This window comes from Homo sapiens, chromosome 19 (genome assembly GCF_000001405.40).
Source record: "Homo sapiens chromosome 19, GRCh38.p14 Primary Assembly".
NCBI lineage: Eukaryota > Metazoa > Chordata > Mammalia > Primates > Hominidae > Homo > Homo sapiens.
The window spans coordinates 18,592,866-18,611,344 of NC_000019.10; the positions used below are offsets into that span (position 1 = coordinate 18,592,866).

Consider the following 18,479-nt stretch of genomic DNA (forward strand, 5'->3'; position numbering starts at 1 on the left):
CTCCCAAAGTGGCGGGATTACAGGCGTGAGCCATGGCGCCTGGCCAATTTTTTGCTTTTAGTAGAGATGAGGTCTCCCTTTGTTGCCCAGGCTGGTCCCCAACTCCTGGCCTTGAGCAGTGCTCCCAGCTTGGCCTCCTAAAGTTCTGGGATTACAGGCATGAGCCTTTGCAGCCAGCCAGCTCAGGTATTTTGAATCACATTCTCCAAGGAGTTCAGAATCAGACCTTGCAAATACTGGATAGACAGTCTGAAGTCCTGGGAGGTGAAAATTCTAATCTCAAAGGGTCATTAAGACGCCTCACATTCCCCTCAAATCTCACAGCCCCCACCCCAGGCCAGGCAGGCCCCAAACTCACCTTCACAATCACAGCACCTAAATAGCTCATTTATTTAAAAGGACTCTTTTGGAGGGGCCCTAGGTAATGGGGAGTAATGACTCCCCTTCTCACCCCCAGCCCTGGCAGGGGTTCTAGGCAACTCAACCAACCCTCACACACACACACACACCCACTGGGGTGCACCCAAAGGTGGCCTCACGTGGGAGTCAGAGCTGTTATGGCCGTTGGAGCTCAGGGGCCACCCCAGCTCCTGCTGAGGGTGGCTCAGGTGCCCTGAAGTGAGGGTACAGAGGTGGCCCCAGTTTGGGTTCGGCCTCTGCGTCTCCACGTGGCAGGGAGGGTGGCCTGAGCCCCTACAGCTTATCTGGCAGGACCTGCAGGCAGAGGGGAAGCCAAGCTAAGCAGGGAGTCCAGGAGAGGGCCGCACCACAGAGCCACTGAAGGAGGCTTCATTCGTGTCCTGTCCCCACCGCTTCTGGCTGTGTGACTTTGGGCAGGGTCCTGCCCCTCTCCGGGCCTTGGCGAGGCTATCTGAGCTGCAGGTAAAGCACTTGGCGCGGAGCCAGTATGCAGTAGGCGCCCATGCGTGCTAACTAGGGTGAGTATGTTCATTCATTTCGGAGGAGATTCCACTTCGGACATTTTCAGGGCATTGAATGTTCTTAGGCTAAAGGAGACAATGCCAGTTATACAGTAAGTGCTAAGTAAATGCTGATGAATAACAAAGGAAGAGGACGGATTCCATCTCAGCGACTCTAAGGCTGGGGTTGGGAGGCGTGGGGGTGTGAACAAGACCTGCAGCCACCGGAAGGGGCCCTCCCCTTGCTCCCTCCCGCCCACCCATTCAGGCCCACCTTACCTCTCGCCGTGCCCCGTCTGCCCGAGGGCAGGATCCCCTCGTCCTGTGCTTGGAAGGAAGGCAGAGGTGTCGTGGGGGCTGCAGACCTGCGTCCACAGCCTGCTGTCTTCCCCCTCCCCTGTTTTCTGGGCCCCCCCAGCTCCCTGTCCCCACCCCCACGCCCGAGGGTCCCTCCTTCCTACCTGGTTGCGGGTCTTGTGCGACTTCTGCATCCAGGCTCGCCACTGGTCGTAGAGGCGGAAGCTGAGGTTGGAGCAGTACGCGTGCTTCTTGAGCCAGCCCAGGAACTGCTTGAGCTCGCGCCGCACCGGCCCCGAGCTCGGCTCTCCGCCCCGCGGTTCGCACGCCCCGCCGCCCGGGCCCGGGCGCTCTGGTGGTGGGCGGAGCGGCAGTGTCAGAGCGCGCCCGGCAGGGGGTGCGCGCGGGCAGGAGAGGGGAGACCCCGGCGCGGCGGGACCATGCTCCCCTCGGGGAACCTCCCTCCCCGTTTCTCAAGGACCGAGTCCTCCCCGCGGCCCTGCACAGCAGCCCAGCTGCGCCCCTGGCCCGGCTGCGCCCCTGGGGAGGTGGGGGGGAGGGGGAAGGAAGGGGCTCCTCCTCCACATCTCCTCCAGGAACCCGATTCCTGTGGCCTGAGCCAGGTGCGAGTGGAGTGGGGGGAGGGGAGAATGAGAGAGGCCAGAGCCGGGGGGATGAGACATAGAGATAGACAGACAGAGCAGGGGGCCGAAAAAGAGAAAGGGAGAAAGACGCACGGATGAGAGAGCCGGGGCCAGGGATGGAGAGATGGAGACGCAGGGTGGGTGAAAGCCAAGGGTGTCAGCCCAGGAGGAAAGGGCCTGATCAGGGTAGGACAGAAACCCTGGGGACATAGGGACAAAGAGATCGAGACAGAGACACAGAGGAAGAGTGACAGATGAAGGGAGACCGAGTGCAAGATGACCCCATGGGACTGTCCCCAGCATGGGCCCATGGGACAGGGAGTGGGCCAGGAGGGCCAGGTGGGAGGCCTGCCTGTCGGTCCAGCTGCCGGCTGCAGCCAGCCCCCAGCAGGCCGGCGGATAAGGACATCGGCCTCACGTCATAAATAAAGCCGGGGACCCGCTGACAGGCCCTGGCACGGCCCCGGCCCCCGCCGCCCCTGCTGGCCTTCCCCGGCCTCCCCAGCCTCCCCTGCGGACGCAGCGGCCTGCTGGCTCCTGTGCAAGAATCGCAGGTGCCGGGCACGAGCAGGGGCCAAGGCTCAGGCCCCTCCCGGCTGCGCTTGCTCCCGCCCACCCCTGAACCTGGAGGGGCCCAGGATAGGGGCTGGGGAGCTGGCTGGAGCCTGACTCTACCCCTCCCTAGCTCTGGGACCCTCTCTGGGCCTCAGTTTCCCTATCATCTCACGAGCCAGAGTGAGCTTGGTCTTCCCGGTGAACTAAGTTTAGACCTGTGTGACCTCCTAGAGCCTCAGTGTCCTCACCTGAGAAAAAGCGGCCTCCCTTGCAGTGAAACCCTGGGGGGATGGGACAATAAGTACCTCCATGCCAACTGCCTGCAAACACTTAGGTGGCACCCACCATGTGGGCACTTGCCACAAATTATGTCATCCAACCCTCATAACAGCCCAAGGCAAGTGGGATTCTCGACCCCACCTTCCAGATGGGGAAACGGAGGCCAGACATTCCAAGTAACAGCTTTCGTTTCATTTCACAAAAGAGAGACTAGAGGCCTGTGGACCCGGAGAAATCCCAGACAGCAAGAGGAAGCAGACCTAGGCACCTAATCATTCCCATCCCCCTGCCTTGATCAGAAGGAGAAATTGAGGCCCATCAAAGTGGGAGTTGGCAGCCCATTGGCCTTAGAAGCAGGGGTCTCAAACTCACTGGCCCCCTCTTAGGAGGGAGTCTGAGTGGCCAAAACAGACCAGATGGGGATGGGCAAATGGAGAGTGAGGGTCCTGAGAAGGGGAGACCACTGCTGGTGGGGGCTGTAGGCCATGCTGTTACATTTTCTAGATAATTTATTTTTCTAGGGAATCTAGGATATTTGTGTAAAAACTTCCTGGGTTTAAAATTTCTACTAGTTGGTCAAACTTTTTTTTTGTTTTCCAAACAACAGGCCAAAGAAAATAGATCCAAGGGCCACATTCAGCTCTGGGGGGGCCACCAGTTTGAGACTTCTACTCTCTTGGAGACAATCAGGAAACAGGCTGGGCATGGTGTCTCACACCTGTAATCCCAGCACTTTGGGAGGCCGAAATGGGCAGATCACCCGAGGTCAGGAGTTCGAGACCAGCCTGGCCAACATGGTGAAATCCTGTCTCTACTAAAAAATACAAAAATTAGCTGTGCATGTTGGCGCGTGCCTGTAGTCCCAGCTACTTGGGAGGCTCAGGTAGGAGAATCGCTTGAAACCGGGAGGCAGAGGTTGCAGTGAGTGCAGATCACACCACTATGCGACAGAATGAGGCCGTGTCTCAAAAGAAAAAAAAAAGAAAAGAAAACAAGGAAACAGAGGCTCTAGCTGGTTTCGGACTGGCCGCTGGATCACCCAGCCCTAGGAGGGTGCTCACCACTGCGGGGAGTGGAGGCGGCTGTGGGGTGGCTCCACTCACTCCAGATCCCGGCTTTCTTGGAGCCATAGATGCCAAAGGGGTTGCAGCGCACTTGCACGAAGTACACGGTGCCGGGTTTCAGGCCGGCCAGGCGGCAGGAGGTCTGGTTGCTCACATCGTCCACCACCTGGACAGTGAGGACAAGGTCAGAGTAGAGGGCGGGGCCTAGCAGGAGCGGGGGCGGGGCCTGGAAGGAACAGGGGCGGAGTCAGGGAAGGGGAGGGTCACCTTCCAGTCCACACTGTCCTCCACTCGGTAGCGGATCTGGTATTTGGCTTGAAAGAGGAAATCCTTGAGGGCGGGTGGCGACACCCAGCGCACGCTCAGCTGGTCCTCCAGGCCCCCGACGCGGCTCACGTGCACGTCGGGCGGGGGGTCCGTGGTCACTGCGGGGCAGAGGAGGGACCCTCTCAGCCTGGGACTGTCTGGGTTTAACTCCCCCCAGCAGTGTGGCCCAGGGCACTTGGCCTAGATGGAACCTGCCTCTGTTTTCCTCCTCTTCCCTCTGCCCCCACCCCCAGGACTGGTGGATTACACGATATATAATATTGGAGAAACACTCAGCACCTAATTAATGTTAGCTGTTATCACCATTATTATCTGTGACGGGAGAAACATAATCCTATCTTCAACTGACTATGGGAAAGCAGCCATTGCGGGGTTGATGATATTATTATTATCATGCTTAGGAGGCCAGGGGCTGTCAGGCCGTCAGCCTTCTGGGAACCTCCCTGCCACCCCCTCCCCACTCACACCTCCCTTCCACTCTTTTTTTTTTTTTTTTGAGACGGAGTCTCGCTCTGTCGCCCAGGCTGGAGTGCAGTGGCGGGATCTCGGCTCACTGCAAGCTCCGCCTCCCGGGTTCACGCCATTCTCCTGCCTCAGCCTCCCAAGTAGCTGGGACTACAGGCGCCCGCCACTACGCCCGGCTAAATTGTTTGTATTTTTAGTAGAGACGGGGTTTCACCGTTTTTTAGCCGGGATGGTCTCGATCTCCTGACCTCGTGATCCGCCCGCCTCGGCCTCCCAAAGTGCTGGGATTACAGGTGTGAGCCACCGCGCCCGGCCCTCCCTTCCACTCTTACTGAAATCTTTGATGTGACATTTTGCTGGGTGCAGAGAAGCAACTGAGGCTTAGAACTTTCCCACTGTAGCGTTAGGATGTGGGGAAGAGTGAGGCAGGCTGCGGGGGCAGGGATGGGGGCTACAACCCAGGCGTATGTGTGTGTTGGGGGGTTCTGAGGATCCTTCTGGGGGCCCCTGAGGGCAGCAGGGTGAGCTGGCCTCTCCCCCTGAGGCCTTGGTGAGGGGCCTAAAGGGTTAAGGCACAGGCCTGCTTGGGGCTGAGAAACACCCTAATTAGATTAGGCTCAATTCTGCTCACAGATCATCCATTTCCTGCCTCCCGCCCTGCGCCCCCCAGCTCCAGGCCTCGGCTTCCTGGGGCGCCTCCCGACCTGGGCGCCCCCTCCCCTCTCCCCAGGGCCCCCTCCTGCACACCTGGGCTGCCGAGGGGGTGGTGGCCAGGCCAGGTGTTCTCTGTGGAGTGGGGGTATCCTGGCTGTTTCTGGGGGCTGCGGACTGATGAGCGGATGCTCAGCTACTTACCTACCTTCCCTCTGACCAGCAGGGACAACCCGGGAGTTGCCGGGCTGGGGAGGGGCAGGTGGGACCCTAGGAAAAATGAGAAGGTGCAGGGGACCCCTCGGGATGCTCGGTGGGTGGGGCTGGTGCCGAGGGAGGGGCCTAGCAGACACTGGGGGCTCACCCACATCCAGGATATCCAGCGTGAGTACATCGGAGCGGGCAGAGCCCAGGCGGTTGGTGGCCTCCACCCAGATCTCATAGGGCGTAAAGAGAGCCAGGTCCTTGGGGATGTGGCAGGAGTGGGGCCCCACTGTGTGGTACTCCTCACATGTGTTGTCCTGGCCATACCACCTGCGGGGATGGGAGGGCGACAGGACGCATGAGGGTTCCTTGTGGCCCCCAGACCTCACCATGGCAGCCTCAGGGTGCAGACAACACATGGGGGCTCAGAGAGGGTCCGCGTTGGTCAAGGTCACGCAGCCAGCCTGGGACACACACATCGCCCTCAGGCCACCACCAACCTAAGCTTGTACTTGAGGGAGTAGTTGGTGTGGAGGAAGGTCTCCCCGTGGGCCCCTGGCGTCCAGCGGCAGGTCAAGTCCTTCATGTTCTTGGACCAGCAGCTGATGTTGACGGGTTTCTCTGGGGGCACTGGGAGAAGGGGAGGGTGCAGGAAGCAGGCTGAGGGTCTGGACTAGCTGAGCCTCGGCTGAGGGGTTGCTGCCCACCCACCAGGCCCCCACCTTGGAGTGGAAGGAGGGCAGACAGGACAGTCTCAGCCCTGTGCTGAGAAATGCCAGCACAGTTGGTGTGACAACTGCAAGGGCTCTTGAGAGGCTGGTGACTCGATCTCCGGGTTCTTTTTCTTTTTTCGAGGCAAAGTCTCGCTCTGTCCCCCAGGCTGGAGTGCAATGGTGCCATCTCAGCTCACTGCAACTTCCGCCTCCTGGGTTCAAGCAATTCTCCTGTCTCAGCCTCCCAAGTAGCTGGGATTACAGGTGCCTGTCAGCACGCCTGGCTAAGTATTGTATTTTTAGTAGAGATGGGGTTTCGCCATGTAGGCCAGCCTGGCCTCGAACTCCTGGCTTCAAGTGATCCACCCACCTCAGCCTCCCAAAGTGCTGGGCTTACAGACATGAGCCACCTTGCCCGACCGGGTCTCCAGGTTCTCATTCCCACCTGAAAGACCTGCATAGCCATGCCAGTGTGCCCACAGCTCATCCCCAGGCCAGAAGGCCCACAATTCATGCCTCACTCCAGAGGGAGATGCCGCTCCCAAGAGCTACCCCTGGGGTGTCCTGGGTGCCAACTTACGGCCAACATAGAGGCAGGAGCCAGCCAGGATGCTGCCGTCACGGGCGTGGCACACGAGGTTGTCCCCCGACCGCTGCCTGGACCCATTGAGGTTGGCCAGGGCCAGAGCCAAGGTGGAGGCGTTGAGTACACGGGAGAGCTCAGGGGGCAGGCGGCGCCCGTTGAGGGTCCAGTAGAGGCCCTCGGCGGTGGCTCCTGGTGGGTCTCCGTGCACTGAGCAGGTGGCCAGCAGGGAGGAGCCGATGAGAAGCGTGGGATCCTGGGGACTGATCACAGCTGTGTCTGGGGTCAAAGAGGAACACGTGTCAGGCCAGGGCGGGGACCCTCCAAGCCCCCAACCATGCCAGGACCTCCAGGGTTCATGGTGGTCCTGAAAAGACGCTGTTAATGATTGTCCCCCATTTTACAGATAGGGAAGGTAGAGATCAGTTGGGTTAAATGCCCAGGGCAACACTGGTGGCCAAACTGACAGACCTGGAGTTGTCCAGGTCTGTCTGACTCCAACACTGGATCCTTCCAAAACTCTTCATCACTGACATGCTTAAGGTTCTCTGAGGGGTCACACAACTCGGGCATAGAGGCTCATTCGGATCCAAGTGACTCTTGCTTAGCACATCGTTATGACAAACACTATGCTTTGCTTTTTTTTTTTGAGACGGAGTCTCGCTCTGTCGCCCAGGCTGGAGTGCAGTGGCACGATCTCGGCTCACTGCAACCTCCGCCTCCCGGGTCCAAGCAATTCTTCTGCCTCAGCCTCCCGAGTAGCTGGGACTTCAGGTGTGCACCACCATGCCTGACTAACTTTTGTATTTTTTTTTTTTTGAGACGCAGTCTTGCTCTGTCGCCCAGGCTGGAGTGCAGTGGCACGATCTCGGCTCACTGCAAGCTCCGCCTCCCGGGATCATGCCATTCTCCTGCCTCAGCCTCCCAAGTAGCTAGGACTACGCGCCCGCCACCACGCCTGGCTAATTTTTTGTATTTTTAGTAGAGACGGGGTTTCAGCATGTTAGCCAGGATGGTCTCGATCTCCTGACCTCATGATCCATCCGTATGGGCCTCCCAAAGTGCTGGGATTACAGGCGTGAGCCACTGCGCCTGGCCAAGTTTTGTATTTTTAGTAGAGACGGGGTTTCACCATATTGGCCAGGCTGGTCTTGAACTCCTGACCTCGTGATCCACCTCCCTCGGCCTCTCAAAGTGCTGGGATTACAGGAGTGAGCCAATACACCCAGGCATGCTTTGCTTTTTATTTTTTTAGCGACAGGGTCTCACTCTGTTGGCCAGGCTGGAGTGCAGTGGCACGATCATAGCTCACTGCAGCCTCGATCTCCTGGGTTCAAGTGATCCTCCCTCATCTCAGCTCCCAAGTAGCTGGGACTACAGGTGTGCACCACCACACCTGGCTGATTTTTAAATATTTTTTTAGAGATGAGGTCTCGCTAGTTTGCTCAGGCCGGTCTTGAACTCCTGGCCTCAAGCGATCCTCCCACCTTGGCCTCCCAAAGTCCTGGGATCACAGGCATGAGCTTCGGTGCCTAGCCTTCTTTATTTTTCATTCTCATTTTGTTTTTCTTTTTTGGCAACTAGAAACAAAAGATTGTGGGTTCTTCCTGTGATGCTCCCAGAGCCTCACACATAGTAGGTGTTTCTGTGGGGGAAGGGCACTGCTTAAAATGAAAGCCCTGACCCTTACTTGAATCATTAAGAGCACCATGTTTTTTTTTTTTTTGAGACGGAGTTTTGCTCTTGTTGCCCAGGCTGGAGTGCAATGGCACGATCTCGGCTCACCGCAATCTCCGCCTCCCAGGTTCAAGTGATTCTCCTGCGTCAGCCTCCCGAGTAGCTGGGATTACAGGCACACATCACCGTGCCCGGCTAATTTTTGTATTTTTAGTAGAGATGTGGTTTCACCGTGCTGGTCAGGCTGGTTTCGAACTCCTGACCTTGTGATCCGCCTGCCTCAGCCTCCCAAAGTGCTGGGATTACAGGGGTGAACCACCGCGCCCAGCCTGTATTTTTAGTAGAGTCCAAGAATCGCCATGTTGGCCAGGCTGGTCTCGAACTCCTGACATCAAGTGATCCACTCGCCTCAGCCTCCCGAAGTGCTGGGATGACAGGCGTGAGTCATTGCGCCTGGCCTAACAGCACCATTTATTGAGCACTTGTTGTGTTCTGAATACTGGGCTAAGACTACCTACATTTTCTCGGCCAATCCTGCTTATATGTTAAAGATGAAAAAACTCCGGCTCTGAAAGATGGAGTTTCCTTGCTGGAATGAGGGAAGGCCATACTAGTTAGGCCCAGATTTTCTGGTCTCCAAAGTTCTGTTCCACACTGCCTACCTCTGGAACTAAAGGCAGCCCTGGCAAACTGCACGTCCCCAACTCCCATCCAAAGGGACTTGACATCATCGCTGTTTCCCTCCACTCAGTTTTCCTCATCTGCAAAGTGAGAACGAGAAAGCTCTTTGTCTCCTGGGGTATTGTGAAAGTCAGAGGGGAAAGGACTTCCTGAACCAGGTTGTGTGTGAGTCAGGTACTAGGCACAGGAAACTTGGGGACGCCCATGGGTGGTTGATGCCTCTCTCTCCTGCTGGCCATCAGGGCAGCCCAGGAGTTCCCCTTCTGGAGACCAGAACCTTGTCCATAGGGAAACCAAGGCCCAGAGGAGGAGGGGGTGCACAGGCCAACCTCCCAATGCCTCTCTGAGTCTCAGTTTCCCCATCTGGAAAGTGGACATCATGGCGTCAATGTCATGGGGTTGGCTGGGTGCGGTGGCTCATGCCTGTAATCCCAGCACTTTGAGAGGCTGAGGTGGGAGGATCACGTGAGGTCAAGAGTTTGAGACAGCCTGGGCAACATGGTGAAACCCTGTCTCTACCAAAAATACAAAAATTAGCCAGGTGGGGAGGGGGTGGTGGCCCCATGCCTGTGGTCTTAGCTACTTGGGAGGCTGAGGCAGGAGGATCGCTGGAGCCCGGGAAGTTGAGGCTGCAGTGAGCCATGACTGCACCACTGCACTCCAGCCTGGGTGACAGTGAGACCCTGTCTCAAAAAAGAAATAAAAAATTTAGATTTAAATTTATAAAAACCAACAAAACAAACCTCATGAGGTTGTTTGAGAGGAGTGAAAATATTGTTGGAGACAATATTTTCCCATGAGATCTTTAAACCAAGTTGACCTGGACTCGAATGCCCCCAGCCTGACTCAGTGTTCTACTTTTTTTTTTTTTTGAGACAGAGTCTCACTCTGTCACCCAGGCTGGAGTGCAGTGGCACAATCTCGGCTCACCATAACCTCCACACCCAGCTAATTTTTGTATTTTTAGGAGAGACGGAGTTTCGCCATGTTGGCCAGGCTGGTCTCGAACTCTTGACCTCCAGTGATCCACCCGCCTTGGCCTCCCAAAGTGCTGGGATGACAGGCGTGAGCCACTGCACCCGGCCTCAGTGTTTTACTTCTTTGAGCCTCTGGAAAGGGGCTTCTCGTTCCACACAGAGTGGTTGTAAAGACTCATCCACGCCTTTGTTCGTTCACGCGTTCATCTATTCATTCACAGGGTACCTATAGTGTGTCCGGATCTGTGGGCACTGGGGTGATGCCCAAGACACACAAAAGTCCTGCCCTTGTGGGCATCAAATCCAAGGAAGCAGCAGGAAAAAGGAATAAATAAATATCTAAGACAATAACTAGGGGAGAAAGTAAAGCAGGGGCTGGAGGAAGACAGAGCAGCGGCAGAAGCTTGGGAGGCCTGTCTGGGGAGGTGACCTTTGAGCAGAGACCTGAATAAAGTAAGAGAAGTAGCTGTGACATTATCTAACAGAGCATGTCCAGGCAGTGGGAGCTGCAAGTGCCAAGGTCCTGGGGCAGAAGCGGTGGGAAATGAGGTTTGAGAGGTCAGAGACCCTGACCTGCAGGGAGGAGGGATTCCAGGGTTCTCAGCCGGGGAGGGAGGGATGCGGTGAGATATGCGTTAAAAGGACTCCCCAGGCGGCTGGAAGAAGGGACTGCAGGAGGCAGGGGCAGCCCAGCTTCGCAGAGATGGCAGCCAAGGACAGGGTGATCCTGGCCCCCAGGGAGGCCCCCTGAATGCCAGCGCTGCCCTGCACTTGCCCTCACTGCCCCAGATGGGCGAGGTGGGGTGGACACGGTTCTTGGGCCGGCCCTGATGATTTTCCGGGGCAAACTTGGCTCGAGGGCTCTGTCTCGCTGGAGCCTGGAATCGCAGTTGCGCTTGGGGCTTGGCCCAGGGCTCGCCGGAGGTCTCCGCGTCCGTGCGAAGGAGCCGGCTGAGCGGGCCAGAGCCGAGGAGGCGGGGGCGGCCGAGGGGGGCGGGGGGCTGGGGGCCAGGGGACCGCCCTGGAGGTCCCAGGCAGCCAGCCGCCCGCTAATTCGGAATTCCTTTTGCATGAACTCGGGTGTGCCAGCGTCTCTGCCCCGGCCCACCCACCGCTTCCTGCCTGGGCCCCCCCAACAGAGTGGGAGGCACGGCCAGGCCTGCCCAGACCCCAGGCCCCTCTCAGCCCTTCTAGAGTGGGTCTCACTCCTCCTGCCCCCACCACCCGCCAGCTTGGCCTGGGCAGGAAGGGGCTCTCTGGGGGGTCCTGGCTGGGGGGCGCTGCCCCTCTGCCACACCCGCCTGGCCTGGGCCGGCGTGGCTCACTTGCCAGCAGCTGCAGCTGCCCTCCCGGGGCTGGGCGGGGGACACCGGGCGGCGACGGGTTGTAGGGGGAAGGCAAGGCCAGGCGGGCCTGGACAGACCAATCTCCCACCCCCTTAGCCCCAGCCGGTAAGGTCAGAAGGACACTTTCTCCTCCCGGGATATGGGCGCAACACCAGTGGGAGAACCTGGCCAATTGACTTCCCCTCTCCAGTTCTCAATTTTCTCCTCCATAAAATGGGAGGAGAAATACGTTCTACTTGCTGGGGAGATCAATGAGATGTGATTGCAATCCAATGTCCAGAGGGCTCAGAAGCCTGAAGCCCCCAGGAGCTGCAAAGATGACAGCCCCTCCCAGCTCTGGGGTCCCGGCTGACTAGGCACTCCCTCCAGGCCTCCACAAACAATGGGCTAAGGCGCTGGGGACAGAGATGCACGCACTCCAGGCCAGGCAGGGGAGCAGCTGGGAACAGCCCACTGAGCCGGAGTTGGTGGGGGCTTGGCTTGGTTTGGAGGGCCTCCTAGGGCTCCCCAAAGCAGATCCCTAGGTTGGGCTTTTGAACAGCTCCCTTTTCACTCCCTGCCTCCCCTCCTTTCCCGCAGAGCTGGGGCCTTTAAAAGTTTTTTCTCTCCTCTTTTCCCAATCTGGAGCCACTGCCGTTATTAAAAAGGAACACCATGTGTTTTAAAAGGGAAAAGTGTGAGATTCTCTGCAAGCAGGGCGGAAGGGTGGCCTCCATCCCAGGGTCCCCACGGGGGTCCCCATCTCCCGTCCCGCTGGTACCTGCAGACACTTTACGACCCACCCGCCTGCTGGTCAGGTGCTAAGACACACCGTAAGTAGAAACATATTGCCGAGGTGTGAGAATCTTTTATTTAATTTCTTCCCCCCTTAAAGGAAAAAACACACTTACAGTGCCCCCCCACCCCCTACACCTTCGCCTGCTGCTCTACTGGCTGAAAACAAAGCTTGGCGCTCACAGTGGCACTCACAGGCGCTGCCCACCGCCTGGCAGAGCCGTCAGGGGCCCTGGGAGGGCCCGAGGTAGCCCCTCACCTGAAAGCCAGGGGAGAGCCAGGCTTTCAGCAAGTGCCCCTAGAAGATGCCCGGACCCTGCCCCTTCCCGGAGGAGCCCTACAGGCAGCCCGCAAACAGCCCAGCACAGGGTGGATGAGCCTGGGAGCAGTGTGTGCCCGGCGACCCCCGGGGTGGCCCGTGCGCCTGGATGGGGTGCGTGGAGTGACTGAACATCTGGGGCGAGTGGTGCCTGCCTCTGTGCCCCTGGGTCGCCTCCCCTGTGGGATGTGTGTGACCGTGAATGTGTGTGTCGGGGATGGAATGTGTGTGCGTCCGCGATGGTGCGCGAATGTGCACCTGGGATGCAGTGTGCGCGAGTTTGAGGGCGAGGGTGACGGGCCACAAGCCAGTGTGATTCTTTGTGTGTCTCTGGGTGTGTCCCAGAGCGGGTCTGCATACGGAGACGTATCCTTGCGGGGGTGTTCCTTGGATGGGGGGCCCCAGAGTGCCTGAGGCCAGAAGTCCCTCCAGGGCAGGGGTCTTGGCCCGTAGGGCAGCGGGTTCCCAGTGGGCCCCCTCAAAGTTTGGGCCCGCTGGTGCCCGGACTCACTGGCTCCCGCTCCCTCTCCCTCTCACCCACTCGCTCACAAAGATTCCTCTCGCTGGAGGCTCTCCGCCCGACGCAGCCTGGCTGAAAACGGTTCTAAGCGCCGCCGGTGGCGGGGACTCCGCGGACCCCCGTGCGCCGGGTCCCGCAGGGGGAGGGCGGTGGCGCCGGCCCGTGGAGACACAAGTCCCCCGGGACCCCGGGCTGCGCGCCAGGCGGCCAGAGCGGCCCCCCTGCAGCCCCGCCCTCCCCGTGGGGCTCATCCCTCCGCCTGGGGGGGCCCGCTGGGGGCCCGCACCCAGCGCGCCAACCGCGTGCGCCCCCGCCTGGGAGCGGTGCCCTGCAGTCCCAGGGGCCCAGAGTCCACCGAAGCAGACGCGTGCGCCCGCCACGTCCTGGCATGCAGAGGGTCTCAGGCCGCGATCCCCCCAGCCCCCGGGGGCCTGGCCTGGCGCCCTCGGCCCAGCTGCCCAGGTAACAGGGCCTCGGGCGCGGAAGCAGGACTCTCTGGACAGTGGACTGCGGCGCCGTGTGCCCCGCAGGTGAGGGCGCCCCGAGGGCTGCGCCGGGGGCGCCTTCCTTTGTTCCCCGGCCGTCCAGGTGGCGCCCGCGCCCCCTCCCCCCGCGGCTGCCCCCGGGGCGCCCGCCCTCTGCTCTGGCAGGGGGGAAGGAGTGGGGCGCCGGGTACTCACGGGCTCCTGATCCGGCTCGCGGCGCCCCGAGGACGCAGAGCAGCAGCAGCAGGGGCAGCAACGGCGGCGGCCGCCGCGCGGATTGGGCGGCGGGGCCCCGGCGGCCGGCGGGCATGGGGCCGGCGCTGCCGGGGGCGCGCGGCGGGCTGCGGCTCGGCGGCGGTGGCGCAGGGCGCGGGACGCAGGCCGGGCGCGGGAGGGCGCGGGCCAGGCCGCCCGCACGTCGCTGGGCGCGGACGCGGAGGCCGGAGCAAGTCTGAGCAGCCGAATTGACAAGGCGCTAATGCGCCGCTGGCCCCGCCCGGCCCCGCCCCCGGCCCGGCCCGGCCCCGGGGGGGCGGCGGGCCCCGCACCGGCCTCCCCGCCGCCCGCCCGCCCGCGGGCACCGCGCGCCCCGCCCGTCCCGCCTCCGCCCCACCGAGAACCGCGCGCGCCCTATCCCGCGGCCCAAAGCCCCCTAACTCAACCCCTACCGGCCCAGGACCTCCCTCTCCAACCCTGCCAGCTCCAGGCTTCCCACCCCCAGTCTGGGACCCGGCACCCCCAATCCCGTTTCCATAACCCTGCCCACTTCCCTGCACCCTCCTCTCAGCCCAGTGCCTCTTCAGTGGCCCCTTTGGTCCCCAACCCTGCCCCACTCCTCCATTCCCCCTTCCACGGCCCAATCTTCTGTCTCGGCCCCCACCCCAGCTCTGGCCCCGCCCCCCCCACCGAGCGGTCCTTGAGTCCCGCCTACCCCCATCTCCAGCCCCTCAGCCTTCCCAGGGGCCTAAAAGTCACCCCCAGCCCCACGCCCTCGGCGCGCGGGTTCCAGCCCTCCCACCTCATCCTGCCTCTTTTCGATTCTCCGCGAGTAGCCTCGGCCCCAGGCTTTGCTGGAAGAAAGGAGAAAAAGCAGGAAGGCACGGAGTCCCTCGCCTTCGCCCTGGCTGCGCTGTCCCCTTCGCGCGCGGGATGGGTTTGAGGTTGCTCTGGGCGCCCCGGGGGCCTCGGGAGGGAGCTCCTGCGTGGGCAGACGGGGAGATGTAGTCCCCTGTGGGAGCCGGGACCCAGGCCTGCGCGGGAACTGGGTCCCGCACCGCAGTAAGAGGGATTCCCAGGAGGAGAGCGGTAAGAAGCTCTTTCCCCGGGACCTATTCACACCCCGCCACGGAAAAATCCACTCAGCGGCCCGCGGGTGGGGTGCGCCACGCGGTGAGTAATCGCTTCGGCGGCCACCGCCCGCCGACTCCAGGTAACGCCGGCTGCCCGGAGCGACGCATAGTTTGTCTTCCTTCTTTTGCGCAAAGAGCCTTCTCCGTGTTATTATTTTTGGCCATTGCTCGAGTTTCGGGACCCCTCCCGGTCCGGGCGTCTCATCTCCCTCCTCCCGGTCCCCACCCGATGCGGGCGCCCAGGAATAAAGGGTTCCTGGCCTCCAAGGCTGCTGCGGATGGGGGTGCCTGAAATGAGAGTTGGGGGGTGCAATTACCCACTTTTGGTCGCAGCCCCGCCCCCAGCTGCAGCGCCCAGGGAAGGGAACGGCTCCAAGTCCCCTTTTCCAGGAGTCCCTTAGAGGCCTGGATTCTCTCTCCTGGTCCCCAACCAGCCAAGGGGGTAAAAGTGTCTGAGGGGGGCTCAGGAGCCCCCATTTGTCTGCCCAAGACTGAAGCCCCACCCTCTCCTACTTAAATCTCCAGTTCAGACTCCAGACTGTCAAAAAACAAGATTGGGGGATGGGAGCCTATAGGGGCCCAGGGCGCCCCTGCTCCATCTGAATTCTGGATGGAGAAGACAGACAAGGAGAGACGCTGCCATTTACTTCGGGAAACCAGGCCTTTTGTGCCTCAGTTTCTTCCTCTGCACAGTGGGCACCACCCAGTCTAGGAGCTTCTGTGGGAAGACGCAGGGCAGCAGAAGTCTCTACAATCCAAGCCCTTAGCACAGCACTGGAGGATATCCTGGAGCAGAGGTGACCCCCAGCCCTGCTTGTCCCCTCTGAAACATGGAGCCATAGTCCCACCTGCCAGGGGACCCAGAGGGTTAAGTGGAGGTGGCAGTCCTTGGCTGGAATTGAGTTTTTAGGATACTCACCACTACTCCCCCATGGCTCCTGTCTGCAGATGCTCTCTGTGTGGATAGAGACGCCTCACTCCCTCCTGGGAGGACTTCAGGCTTCTGGAGCAAAACCTTGATTTTTTCCTCCCTCCATTTCTGCTTCTCTTCCAGTCATTTTGGTTTTGGGAAAGGGCTCTCCCATCCATCCAGGTGCTCAGGCCAGAGACCTGGAAGCGCACGTGACAACTCTCTCCTTTGCTCATCCCTCATGTCCAATTCATCAGCAAATCCTGTTGGCTCTGATTCTAAAACACATCTCCATTCTGAGATGCTGACCCCTTTTTCCCACCCCATTCAGATCCAGGCCCCACGGTCTCCCTCAGGGATGCTTCCCGGCCTCCTCCAGGGCCTCCCTGATAACCCTTCTGCCTTTCTCGGCACACCAGGCAGAGGGAGCTTTTAAAAGAAGAAAAAGCAGATCTTTGTCCTGCCACCCTCTCGCCATCCTCTCCCCTCCTCTTCTTCCCTCTCCTCTTCCCCCTCCTCTCCCTCATTCCGCCCCAGCCACTGGAGCCCTGTTTCCCAAAACATACCAGGCTTGTTACTATAGAAGGGCCTCTGCGTGTTGGCTGTTCCCTCTGCTGGAATGCTGTTCCCCACATCTTCCCCAGTTGGCCCTTTCTCTTCCATCACTTCACAGGATTAGTGCCACCTCCTCAGAGAGGCCCTCCACCCTTCCCCCAGCACTCTCCCTCTCCTTCACTTTGTTTTATTGTTTTTGAAACACAACTCTTCCAACCATTTCATTTCTTGTGCAACTGATTTTCTTTAGACTGTGGGCAGCCTCAGCCCCTTTGGACCCCAGTGGTGGGCCCAGTGAGGGCTGAAAGCGAAGCACTCACTAAATATTTGTAAAAGTAAAGGATGGAGAACTCTTACTCCCTCCAAGTAGCAAGAAAACTCAGTCCTAGCAAGTCATGCTGCCTGGGGTCCTAGCCTGGCCCACACTCTGTGTCTTGCTGTGTGACCCTAGCCAGTAGACATCCCTCTCTTGTTCTTACCAACAGAAGGGAAGGACCATTTTCCAATCCTGCCCAGCCCCACCCTGGAGTGTGACTTCTGCCCTTGGGTGATCTTTACCCCACACCTTTGACTTCAGGGAAAGGGAATTGACCCCAGAGTGCATCCTTCCCGGCCCTTAGGGCCCCCAGAAGTTTAACCCTTTACTCCCCAGTTCCATTATCTCCTTGAGGACAAAAGGGAGCTAGCGTCAATGGAACTTCTGGCAAATATTGACCCAAGTCCTTGAAGTTGGCTGGGAATGTGTAAGGGGCAGAAGGAGGGAGGGCCTCCCCTTGGGCAGAGGGAGGGCCTCCCCTTGGGCTGGGGGAGGGACCCCTCCTTAGTCCTGCACCCTCCACTCCAAGGTCACCTCTGGATGAGAGGTATTAGGTTGGGGGGGGGGCCTCCATCCCCAGCTCCCTCGTGATTCCAGGGCACTGAGGGTGCACCAGGGAGGGGGCAGTGGAAATGGCACCTTCAGGGTCCTGTGGGGACCCACAACCACTGGGAGTGAGGAAGGCTGAGAGCTGTCTCTCCCATTCTGAAAGCCCCGTGCTCAGGGCTCCCCAGTATGGGATTAGCTACCTGGTGTTCCAGGCAGGTGCTTTCAGGAATTAAGGGGCAGTGAGGGTCTGGACACCTGGTTCAGGGTCTGTGGCACAGGAAAGTGGGGCCCGTGTGTACCTAGGCTTTATAATTTCTGCCCTGGAGGCTGAGCCTGGGGAGAAGCAATGCCTGGGTGCTCAGTGTAATGCACACTGGACTTCAGGCACTGGAGGCGGGACCTGGGGAGTTGCAGACCTGCCTAGGGGACCTGCCTGGGAAGTTGCAGGCCTGCCCCAGGGAGGCCAGTTTCCCTGCCCGTCTGTACCCTGAGAAGCCTCTGAAGTCTGGGTCCCAGGAGGCACCAGCTGCTTTAGGGGGACAGCCACATCCCTCCGTCCTCCCCCAACAACCCTCAGCAACCACCACCGGCGCCATGGTGCTCTGCCTCCTCCCTGGCCTGTACCCTGCTTGGAGGTGGGGGTCAGCAGGGTCGTGGTGAGGGCGGCAAGGGACAAAGGGTGCTTGTCCGCTGCCCGCCTTGACCTCGGCTGCTGTGGCTTCCCGGACGCCTGGCCTGCCGCTGATTCACGCCCAGGCCGGCCTCAGCGCCCCCCGCCTGCCGCCCCCAGCCAGGCCGCCCCGGGGGGTAGGAAGTGGGGGGGGGGGCGAGGGCGGCGCCGAGTCAACTTTCCCTCTTAAGCCCCGAAGGAATGTCGGCGGATTTCCTGAAACCCGACCCTGGCCGCCCGCCGGCCCTCCCGCCCCTCACCTGGACCGGCTCCCCCGGGAACAGCAGGAGGGGCGCGGGGGCTCACCTTGGGGGCCGGGGTCAAGTCCTCTTTCCGCTCACCCCCCCAGCGGCCTAGTGCAGCGGAAAGGGGGCTGGGTGTGCGGCAATCAGCCTCTTTCCCTTCTCCCCTCAGGCGACCTGGGTGATCGACCCACTCCTCCAGCCTCAGTTTCTCCTTCTGCAAAAGGGCGCGGGGTGTCCCTCCTCCCTGATGCGTTTTAAGCAATGCCCAAAGGTCACCTCCCATCATTGGCAGGGCTCTGCCGGCTTTTCTTTGCTTCTCTCCCTGTCACCTGGACAGAACCACTTTGCAGTCTGAGCATCAGTTTCCTCACCCATATAAAAGGGCAACGCTACCGGTACCTGTC

At 60.1% G+C, this 18,479-nt stretch overlaps 1 protein-coding gene across 1 annotated transcript, besides 6 other annotated features; it reads right to left on the reverse strand.

Annotated features, from left to right (window-relative positions):
* Positions 191 to 692: an enhancer, noted in NCBI's record as "H3K4me1 hESC enhancer chr19:18703866-18704367 (GRCh37/hg19 assembly coordinates)". NCBI's record gives its function as "activates a minimal SCP1, AML or CMV promoter by ChIP-STARR-seq in naive H9 embryonic stem cells {active_cell/tissue: H9 hESC(naive)}" and the evidence as "EXISTENCE:reporter gene assay evidence [ECO:0000049][PMID:30033119]".
* Positions 372 to 13,934, reverse strand: CRLF1 (cytokine receptor like factor 1). Its single transcript, NM_004750.5, has 9 exons — positions 13,677 to 13,934; positions 6,700 to 6,981; positions 5,907 to 6,036; positions 5,567 to 5,736; positions 4,027 to 4,184; positions 3,757 to 3,925; positions 1,382 to 1,569; positions 1,200 to 1,242; positions 372 to 714 (listed from the first exon to the last, which is right to left on the reverse strand). Exons 1-9 carry the CDS (start codon positions 13,789 to 13,791, stop codon positions 701 to 703), a joined length of 1,269 nt encoding a protein of 422 aa, NP_004741.1. The 5' UTR covers positions 13,792 to 13,934; the 3' UTR covers positions 372 to 700.
* Positions 1,326 to 1,415: a silencer, noted in NCBI's record as "silent region_10410". NCBI's record gives its function as "represses an Ori minimal core promoter by ATAC-STARR-seq in GM12878 lymphoblastoid cells {active_cell/tissue: GM12878}" and the evidence as "EXISTENCE:reporter gene assay evidence [ECO:0000049][PMID:35858748]".
* Positions 1,436 to 1,825: a silencer, noted in NCBI's record as "silent region_10411". NCBI's record gives its function as "represses an Ori minimal core promoter by ATAC-STARR-seq in GM12878 lymphoblastoid cells {active_cell/tissue: GM12878}" and the evidence as "EXISTENCE:reporter gene assay evidence [ECO:0000049][PMID:35858748]".
* Positions 3,854 to 4,148: an enhancer, noted in NCBI's record as "tiled region #11645; K562 Activating DNase unmatched - State 5:Enh, and HepG2 Activating DNase matched - State 18:Pol2". NCBI's record gives its function as "activates a minimal TATA promoter and a strong SV40 promoter by Sharpr-MPRA in K562 cells, with weaker activation in HepG2 cells {active_cell/tissue: HepG2 | K562}" and the evidence as "EXISTENCE:reporter gene assay evidence [ECO:0000049][PMID:27701403]".
* Positions 3,858 to 3,917: an enhancer, noted in NCBI's record as "active region_14328". NCBI's record gives its function as "activates an Ori minimal core promoter by ATAC-STARR-seq in GM12878 lymphoblastoid cells {active_cell/tissue: GM12878}" and the evidence as "EXISTENCE:reporter gene assay evidence [ECO:0000049][PMID:35858748]".
* Positions 13,056 to 13,974: an enhancer, noted in NCBI's record as "H3K4me1 hESC enhancer chr19:18716731-18717649 (GRCh37/hg19 assembly coordinates)". NCBI's record gives its function as "activates a minimal SCP1, AML or CMV promoter by ChIP-STARR-seq in naive H9 embryonic stem cells {active_cell/tissue: H9 hESC(naive)}" and the evidence as "EXISTENCE:reporter gene assay evidence [ECO:0000049][PMID:30033119]".

Bases quoted from the DNA above. Each gene is read 5' to 3' on its own strand.
- CRLF1 (NM_004750.5), bottom strand. From the start codon at position 13,791: ATGCCCGCCGGCCGCCGGGGCCCCGCCGCCCAATCCGCGCGGCGGCCG. The intron at 4,185-5,566 runs GTGAGCCCCCAG...TCTGCCCCGCAG, and splicing joins GCTGGATATCCTGGATGTGG to TGACCACGGACCCCCCGCCC. The intron at 1,243-1,381 runs GTAGGAAGGAGG...TTCCAAGCACAG, and splicing joins CGCACAAGACCCGCAACCAG to GACGAGGGGATCCTGCCCTC.